Source organism: Homo sapiens, chromosome 21, assembly GCF_000001405.40.
Source record: "Homo sapiens chromosome 21, GRCh38.p14 Primary Assembly".
NCBI lineage: Eukaryota > Metazoa > Chordata > Mammalia > Primates > Hominidae > Homo > Homo sapiens.
The window spans coordinates 18,957,298-18,968,217 of NC_000021.9; positions in this window are offsets into that span (position 1 = coordinate 18,957,298).

Sequence of the window (10,920 nt, forward strand, 5' to 3'; positions counted from 1 at the left end):
TAGTTATAATTTCATATCTGTTAAACAACTTTTCACTATCTCCCCCAAACCTCTACCTTTCTCAGCCTCTAGTAACCACTATTCTACCTACTACTTCTATGAAATAAACTATTTTAGCTTTCCCATATGAATGAGAACACATATTTATCTTGCTGAGCCCGGTTATTTTACTTAATGTCCTGCAGTTCCATCCATGTTGCTATTAATGACAGGATTTCATCCTTTTGTGGCTGAATAGTATTCCAATATGTGTATAGCACATTTTCTTTATCCAAGCATCCTCTGATGGACACAGGTTTATTACATGTCTTGGCTACTATGAATAGTGCTGCAGTAAACACAGAAATGCAGATATCTCTTCAATATATTTATATCCTTTCCTTTGGATATATAGTTCTGTTTTTAGTTTTCTGAGGAACATCCACACTGTTTTTTATAATGGCTTACTAATTTATATTTCCACCAACAGTGTATAAAAGTGTCCCTTTCTCTGCATCCTTGGCAGCAATTGTATAATAAATTATGTCTTTTTGATAATTGCCATACTAAACGGGGTGAGAAGATATCTCAGTTGGTTTTGGTTTGCATTTCCAATGACATTCTTTACATAAATCTAAAAAACAATTCTAAAATTTGTATAGAACCACACACACAGAAAAAAAAAAAAAAACCAAAGAGCCAAATAACAATCCTGAGCAAAAAGAGGAAAGCTGGAGGCATCACACTGTCTGACTTCAAAATACACTACACACCTATAGTAACCAAGATAGCATGCTACTGGCATAAAAACAGACACATACACCAATGGGACTGGATAGAGAACCCAGAAAGAAATCCATGTATTTACAGCCAATTGATTGTCAACAAAATGTCCAAGAACATACATTGGAGAGAGGGCACCCTCTTCAATAAATGCTGTGGGGAAAACTGGATATCCATGTGCAGACAAATGAACCTAGACCCCTATCTCTCACCATATACAAAAAAAATCAACAAAAATAGATTAAAGACATAAATGTAAAATCAGAAAGTATGAAAATATTAGAAGAAAACAGGGGAAAGATTTCAGAGATTGTTTTGCAGGAAGATTTTATGATGAAGACCTCAGAAGTACAAGCAACACAAGCAAAAAGAGAAAAATGGGATTATTTAAACCCAAAAAACTTCTATATAGAGAAAAAACAATCAATAGAGTGAAGAGACAACCTGCAGAGTTAAAAAAAATTTGCAAATTATTTATTCAACAAGATATTAATATCCAGAATATACAAAGAACTCGACTTGATGGCCAAAAAGTAATAATCTGATTTGAAAATGGGTAAAGGATCAAAATAGCCATTTCTCAAAAGAAGTCATACAAATTGTCAAGTATATGAAAAAATGGTTAACATCATTCTTTTAATTTCTGACAAACATAAAGTAAATGCCAAATTTTTTTATCTTAAGATTGTTGTTAGTATAAAATGTGATAATGTAAATATCAGACATAGACTCTATTTCTAAATCACTAGATTTTTGGAACAAACTCTTCACCATTAAACTGATTATGAGGAGTTATAATGTATAAGTAAGAGCATTTTTATAAGGTTAAGTAGGCTTAATTTCTGCCTCTGATCCTTAAATGATGTGTTAACTTACATAAGTCACTTAACCTGTCTATATCTGTTTCTTTAGATGAAAAATAAACAAATAATATATAAAAAGAACTATTTTGATAACTAAACAAGTAAACAAGTGAAAAAAATTGTAACTGCATTAGCTCATGTTCACTATTTAATAAAATTTAGTGTGCATGAGTGTTTGTACATGCATATGTAAGTTAATAGCATATTGTAAACATTTAATTGAGCCAGAAAATATCAGCATATGCTATAGGATATTTATATTTGTATTGTATTTGTTGTATAAAGATTTCATTTCAGATTTCATATATACAAATATAAATCCGACATTTTGGCCCCAAACTGACTCAATACTTATTTTCCATTTAAATTATTCCAATTACAAATTCAGTACAGCTAAATCAATACTCAGCTCTCAGGAATTTGTAGGCCACACATTCAAACAGAAAGAAGGCATTGTACCTTATGTTTATTTCAGAAAAACAAACAGCTCTAGTTACTTCAAGAGAAATTAAGTTATTATAGTTGGAACTTAACGTTATACAACCAAAAAGCGGACTGGAGAAGGAGTAGTTGAAGAAATATTTTTGGCTTTCAGGAAAGCTGGAAGAAAACGGCTCTGATAACCCTTGAGGACAATCTTCATGCAGGCAAAGTGGTTGATTCTCAGGAGAACAAGCAGAAGCTTCTGGAAAATGCCCATGACTCTCCGCTAATGCTTGCTCAGCGTTTGGGCAAGTCGACTTTATACCTAGAGCTCATTCGCTTCAGAACCAGTGTCTCTAAATTTTTTATCACTAAATATTAAGGGACATGGACAATATTTTTTTAAAACCTGCCCTGTAACCCTAAGATTTTATAACTTTGTAAAATTTTGTACTTTATTGCCATTAAAGATCAAAATGTATGGAAATAGCATGAGTTACAAAGATGCCTCAGCATGCCTGTTACATTGCTGCAGTGTCATTTTCCAAAAATATTCTATTTAAACTCAAGAAAATCGCCACTGTTTCTTTCTAACACCTGTCAGCAACTGCTCATAGCTCACTGATGTAGCTGTTTTTGCATTCTGACACGTGAGGTCTACTCACATTTTGTAAGACATGTCACTGTCAAAAGCTAAAAATAAAAAGGCAAATGTGACAGCCCTGGTGCCGCCATGCCTAAGAGCCACAGGTAATTGTGATCAAGAGGGGTATTTTTAAATGTTGCAAAAATATCAAACTTCTATTTCTTCCTTTTAATTTTTTTGTGATTTTTATTGAATTTCATCTTTTACTATTAGCCAAAAATTGTTCTATGATTGTAACCAGTGAAAACTACACAAGATTATTTTTCTCAAGAAAAAAGACTGATATAGTTTTGAAATCTTTTGTTGAGAAAGCTGCACTAAATTGAAATCACTTGGCTTAGCTACTTCTGAGGAAAGGCCAGACAGCAACTGTAATGGAGGCTATAAAAATGCATAGGAAGCCAAGTAATTCACAAGTGATTAATGATAATGGTAATACAGAAAAGACCTTTGGTAATAAATACATAATTGAGTTTAGAAAATACAACAAAGAGTAATTAGATTAAACTGAGTTGTAAACAATGAGCATGTAAAAAAGATACCAAAAATAACAGATTTTGATATTATGTTTGTGATCGTATTACCGAAAGCATAAATTGTTGCATAAATGGAAGGACTGGTATGATTTAAGTACTTTTGAAGCAGAAAACTCATTTAGTTATTTTACGAGATAAAGACACTCATTGTAAATCATTCCTACATTTGTATGAGGGCAAAATAAATTGCCTTGATAAAATCAAACTGATTTAAAGTACAATTCTTTAATAGCACTGGATGAATTTAAAGTGTCTTATATCTTCGATCAAGTCTAAACCAAATTTCTCTCACACACGGAAGTGCACACTAACACTCTCACACACACACATACACACACACTCTGATACAAGTATACTCATAAAAGTAAACCTGATGATCTCTCCTCAAAGACAAATACACGCCCTACTTTCATAAATAATTATTTTGCTTTAGGCAGTTATAACTTGAATCCAATTTTTAGTTTCACATTAATGTGAAATGTCTTACAATAACAACCAGAAAAAATAGGTCTGTTACAATTGTAATAAAGATCTAAAAGAAGTCTAAATTTTACACCTATAATTTGATGAGAATTAAAATAATAAAAAATATGTTTCATATGGAAAGAGATATTATAGTTTCTAAAGTGAATTCCAGCTCATTTTTGAACTCTCAATACTTTTGTGAGATATACAGTCCAGTAACTGTTATTGTAGGGAAAATAAAGCTCAGAGGCATAATTGATTTGCTAAAAGTCACAAAACTAGCAAATGACAAAAACAAGCCACTAAATCTGCTCTGAAGGCTCTAGTCGAGGACAAATAGTCTTTCCCCTATTTCAGGATCCTTCTTGAAAAATTCAAGCTAAAATGGAAGCAAAGAAAATAAACATACTGTATTATATAGAAAGAAGGATAATTGATATTTTATAATTTTTAACATAGCCCATTTTGTCCTATTAACCACATACTGCAACACATATGTTGTAGCTAAAGAGTTGAAGCCATGTCACATTGTTATAATGTGCATTTATTTTGTCATTCTTCTGCAGTCCTGTTCCTGGATCAAGGTTAAGACTTTGAGTTGCTGGTCAAATTTTCAAGTATTTTTATTTTTTATGATATCTAATAATATACATGGAATATTTCTCAGAATTCATCTTGGTAGATTTATCTGTAATTTCATTTAACATGGGGGTCTGTTTGCCTCCTTATTTATTCCTTGTCCTTCCTCATCTCTGCTAGGTGTCTCAGGGGCCTGAACACTAGAGTTTTTCTGTATCCATCTCCCGTGTCACCTTACTTTTCTCTGGGTTATGCCTATGGCAAGCACTGACTAGGGATTGGCGAACAGGTGATTCCAAGAAGTCCGGTTACTTCTTCCCCTCCTGTTCTGTCCTAGGAGGCATGTCTGGCAGACAAAGTCTCTGACTCCAGCCTCTACCTGGTGATCCTGGGCTCCAGGCCCTAGTACGTCCTTGCAGTTTATGGAAGTGGAAACTTCTAGCAGTTGCTAATTCCTGGGTTGCGTTACCTTCCTTTATTTGTCAGCTCAGCCATCTTTATAGTTTAACTAATACCTTGCTTTACATATCCTTCATGTTAGACACAGACATTCTGTTTGTGACTAATACTACCCAAAATAACATAATTGTCGTTTATTAAATGAGCCAGTTTTGGTCATCAGAGTGGAGAGCTGGTTTGTATATATTGCATTAATCAAAATGATGTAAAAATAAGGATCATAATATTATGATACAATAAAATAATAGCATATATAGAATATCTTTAACTGATACCACTCTGCAGCTCTTTTTCAATTGATGTAATTTCTACTGTAGACATAAAGGATAAGTTAAATTTTAAAATAGCACGATTTACAGAAATTCCTTTTTTGACAAATGCACACTGTACTATGGTTTTCAAAATGCACCTTTTAATAATTTTTTTATTGCAGTTACCTAAAGAAAATAAATTTCATTATATAAATTATTAGAAATCAAACAGCCCCCCATATTCAATAGTATTTCTATGTGATATGAAATTAATAAAAGTGTTCAACTTTTAAGTTGTTTAATATTGCTATGCTCTGGAAGAGTCTTGTAAGCTAAAAAATGCACACATTTGTGTAGCATAGACAAAAATTTAAGTGTGCTCTCAGGCTGAATATATATTACAGAACTTAGTTCACCAGAGATACATTGCATTGTGGTTCTGCTATATTTGGATGGGTGCATCTCTTCATTTACAGCCAATAGGGAAGTAAAAGCTCACTGCTGCTACACAATGAGGTAATAAACAGCATAAATAGTCCATATAACTTCTAGTTATGCATCATCTATCCAATAACAATCCACATAATACATGAAAAAGTAATATTACTCTTTTTGAAATAAATGTTTATACAGAGACAATTATTTTTTTCCTTTCATGTATTGGGTGAGGTTTTAATGTCTTTATATCTCAAATTTACTTGTTTTAATATTCAATAATAATACCCTCCCTTGATTTCAGCTTACACAAATATTCTTTCTGAATCTCTATTACTCTTCTTTGTCAATTCCATGCCTTTGTTTAGTTGCTGTTTATTTTACTCTTTTGTTCTCTTCTGATTTAGACTAATTATATCATTTTTAGCCTTTTTATTTTTGACATTCATTTTCTAACATTGGAAACTGTGCTCATCATGTTATGCCTTAAACAAGCTTGTGTTTAGATTTCTCCTTTGTAAGAAATTACACATTAGTTCTACCAAAATACTGGTAACATTTTTACATTTTTTTCCTTGATTCCTTCCACTTTTCTCCCAAAAGTGGGTAGCTAAAAAGTATTCTTCCCCATAAAGACTCCTACACCCATCTTTTCTTCCCCCGTCCCTTTTTTTAAAGTAAAGATGAGGTGTCACTATGTTGTCCAGGCTGGTCTAGAACTCTTGGGTCTAAATGATCCTCCCATCTTGGCCTCCCAAAATTGCTGGGATTACAGGCTTGAGCCATCACACCTGGCCCACACATCTTGTCTTCTCCTTTTGCTTTGCCACCATCTAGGACTCTTAACTTCTCATTTTTCTTCTAGTGTAAAGTTGTAACTCTACACTGTACTGGTATCATGTGATTGTATTTTTTAAATGACAATAATAAGAAAGTAATGCCATGGTTGTCTCTTAATTGTTTGCACTGGTTTCCATCTGTCATCCTTTCTTTCGAAGTAATCTTTCTGAAATAACTTATGATTCCATTCCAACTTCCCTCCAACATTCACCCTCAGATACTTTCAATGATTTCTTGTTTCTTAAAAGATAAAATTTAGTCTCATCAATTTGGCCTACAAAATGTTTTAATTAACTGGCCTTGGCTATGTGTTTAAAATTTTTGTTACTACTCATTATAAATTTACTAAAAAACATTCAATTTGGCTCAACCATTTCCATTCATGCTTCCTTGAATGTGGTGAATTTTGCATTATAATTGCTTTGCTCACATGTTTTTCTCTGATAGGAGAGGGGAGTGAAGAGGAGGTACAGGGAAAGGGAAAGGGGAAGGGAGGAATGGAGGAAAGAGAGAAAGGCGGTTAACATGTGTGAGCACTTTCTATTTATCAAGCACTCGGAAGTGAGTTAAAGAATGAGTATTTGAGCAATTTTTTCCCTATAAAAAGCTGGACATTTTCATAGGGAAAAAATTATAATCTAGATGTTTCTAAGATATCAGTGGATGCTAACATATTTAAGAAACTAACTCAGTGGAGAAAACCGTTTTCTCAGAACCTTTTTCAAAAGGTGTACAGTGCACAGATAATTTTATGAGCGCTTGATAAGTATGAAAGCTAAAGTATGTCATCTGTAACCTTGCTTTTTCTCTCCTACACAGCCTTCACCCTACTCTCTAATTAACTATCAGGCCAATGTTTAAAGAACAATAATTCTCAGAGACACCAAAATATTAGATAGCAAAGCAGGCCAATGGATTTTAATTGTTCCCTTGTTATTATATGAAATGCTTTAAAATACATTATTTTATGTAATACTTACGAAACCCTTAGAGTTAGTATTCCATTGTTGCATATGGGCATAGCTAAGCTGGTCTATAATTAGTGATACTGTACTGTATACTTACAAGTTGTTAAAGTGGTAGATATCAAATGGTCTCACCACACACACACACACACACACACACACACACACACACAAATGGTAACTCCATGAGGTGAAGGAAATGTTAACTAGCTTGATCATTGTATTAGTCAGGGGTCTCTGAAGGGACAGGACTAATAGGATAGGTTTATATATGAAAGGGAGTTTATTAGAGTATTGAGTCTCACAATCACAAGCTGAAGTCCCACAATAGGCCATCTGGAAGCTGAGGAGCAAGGAAGCAAGTCCAAGTCCCAAAACCTGAAAAGTAGGAAAACTGAAAGTGCAGCCTTCAGTCTGTGGCTGAAAGACCCAGAGCTTCTGGCAAATCACTGGTGTTAGTGCAGGAGGGCAAAGCCTAAAGAACTTGAAAGTCTGATGTTCGAGGTCAGGAACCATTTGGCATGGGAGAAAGATGAAGGCTGGAAGGCTCATCCAGTCTAGTCGTTCTGCGTTCTTCTGCCTGCTTTAATCTAGCCATGGTGGCAGCTGATTAGATGGTACCCACCCACATTAGGGCTGGGTCTGCCTCTTCCAGTCCACTGACTCAAATGTTAATCTCTTTTGGCAACACCCTCACAGACACACCCAGCAACAATAGTTTGCATCCTTCAATCCAACCAAGTTGACACTCAATATTAAGCATCACAATCGTGGTATCATTTTATAATATATACGAATATCAAAACACATTGTATACCTCAAATATATATATATAGTCAGTTATACCTCAAAAAAGCTGGAGAAATAGAATAAAAATGATGAAGGCATGTTTTCAGGATCACTAAGTTCAGAGTTGCAAGACAACTTTTCCCTTCTTATACTTGATGCTTCTGAAGAGTTATTCAAGACTTACTGACTATTATTTGTGAACTTAGTGCAACCCGTACATGTAACATATTCTTGCTTATCTTGTTACAAGTCTTATTGTTTTTCAATAAAGCTATTATTTCTGGATTTAGTCAGGATTTCTCCTTCATGACTCATCTACCTTCTTTCCTTCTGGACAATTTCATATAATAAAAAATCAGATATTTTCATTGTGCAATAAGGTACATTTTGCTTTATACATAAATGGAATATTATATTTATACCTCATTAAATGGTAGACCATTGTTGTATTTTAATAAATGGAGATTGGTAAGAAAATTATCCAGAACTACCAAATTATAAGAGTTTATGCACCTGAGAAAACTCAGGCAAATGTCTAAAGTTAGCTTCTATAAAACAGCACTGGAGTTGTTTGAAACTTAGTAAATATCATTCAGAATTCTGAAATGAAAGAAATAATTGGCAATTTCTGTCAAGTACACAAGTTTCTCCCTTGAATGAAATTATCTGTTTACAGAACCACTCTAATCAGGAAGAGGCCATTCTGGGTTACAAGACAGATGCAGTAAAGAAATAAATGCCCCCTTGGTGAAATGAAGAAGTTATGGCATTTCTTCATTACTAGACCAGAACAACAAAGCCAAAGGCAGTAAGAGAATAAAATTGATTACAGACTGTATTCCCCGTGTGGAATAAGGGATTGGATAGCTGTTCATTTTATTTTGCCACTATAACTAAAACTCTTCTAACTTATATTTTCACTTATATTTCAGTCCTAAGATTTTTTTTTTCCTTTCAATATTGTAGGCCTTTCTAGATACATCTGCAGGAAAAAAAAATTGACCTTGAAACTAAATCATTGTCCTAGGATTTGGACATTGGTGGAAAAATGGTGGAGTCTTGGATGTGTAAGTGAAGTCTTCTGGGAATGTTATAAAGAAAGGTAGAGCTAGCCAAGTTTCTCTTAGTTCAATAATAATGCAGAAATCAAGAATCTGTGGATGTCTTCTAATATCTATTCTTTGACTCAGTTTTTCTTTAGACTGAGTCTCGCTCTGTTGCCCAGGCTGGAGTGCAGTGGCACAATCTTGGCTCACTGCAGCGTCCCCCTCCTGGGTTCAAGCGGTTCTCCTGCCTCAGTCTTCTGAGTAGCTGAAATTACAGGCGCACGCCACCACGCCCAGCTAATTTTTGTATTTTTAGTAGAGACGGGGTTTCACCATGTTGGCCAGGCTGGTCTTGAACTCCTGACCTAGTGATCCGCCCGCCTCGGCCTCCCAAAGTGCTGGGATTACAGGCGTGAGCCACGGTTCCCGGCCCTAATATCTATTCTTAAAGAGTTCTTTGAACGAAACTGATTTAAGAGATTGCCAGTACAAGGTATCCCCTAGGAGATGGTAGAGGACTTTGTATCACACTATGCGGAGAAAAGGTATTGTCCTTTGTGTCAACAGAGAATACAGCAAATATACCCGTACATTAGATTACTAAAAACAGCGCTGGGATGTTTGCAGTCCCACTGCTTCCTCATGGCTTCAGAGAACATCAGTGGGAGATGGGGCCAATGACTGCAGCCATGGACAGGACACTTGGAAACAGAGGGAAAAAGCAAGAATATGAGGATTCCAAAGAGATACTTAATGCCTTTCCCGCTCAAGTTTTCCACAAATAACTTTGAGAATTCCGGCGTAATCTCTTTTCATAAATAAAGATGTAACTTTTAAAGGGGTACTTGGAATAGATGGATTCAGAGCCCAATTTTATTATCTATATTGTCATTTCATATCTGTATCTATGGATCTCTGTATTTGTATATATCTATACTCCAATGAGAAAATGTGGAAATCATCTAAACTCATCTGTTCATTTAACACCATAACATTTTAAACACAATTTTAAATGCTGTGAAATAATCTCATTTATGAAATTAGAGAAAAAATTATAAATAAATTGTCAAAAATAAGAATCAATAGTCTTTCAGAAGAGCAATACCCATCGAGACCATCCTGGCTAACATGGTGAAACCCAGTCTCTACTAAAAATACAAAAAAATTAGCCAGGCTTGGTGGCGGGAGGCTGTAGTCCCAGCTACTCGAGAGGCTGAGGCAGGAGAATGGCGTGAGCCCAGGAGGCGGAGCTTGCAGTGAGCTGATATCGCACCACTGCATTCCAGCCTGGGCGACAGAGCCAGACTCCATCTCAAAAAAAAAAAGAGAAATATCCAGAAATACTGGAATTGTTTATTCTAATAGTGCCCACATGGCTCAAAAAGAGAAAATAGTATAATTGACAATATAATTGAATTACAGAAAAAAAATTTAAAATATTGCCAATAGCAAGAAAGCTTATGTAATACAGCAGCCCTTTCAAATAAAACACTAAATATCACAGAGATAAACAAAATCTACTTAGATATAATGAACATAATTTTCCAAAAGATGGAGCAAATATCTTAAATTGTAAAAAATATTTAAGGAATGAGAGATGGATAGTCAGCATTATTATGCAATACTGACACGAGTTTCTAATAAATAGAATGAGAAAAAATTGGAATAAGGGTATAGTTAGTATTGAAAGATAAAAAATAACTTTTGTTTCTAATAATACAATTATATATCTGGAAAATCTAAGAAACTGTAGAATTGTAGATGTATCAATAAGACATATGATAATAAAAACCAGTATAAAGCGACTGATTTATAATTATTATAATCACATTTTTCAAAGATCTATAGCTTTACTGTAACA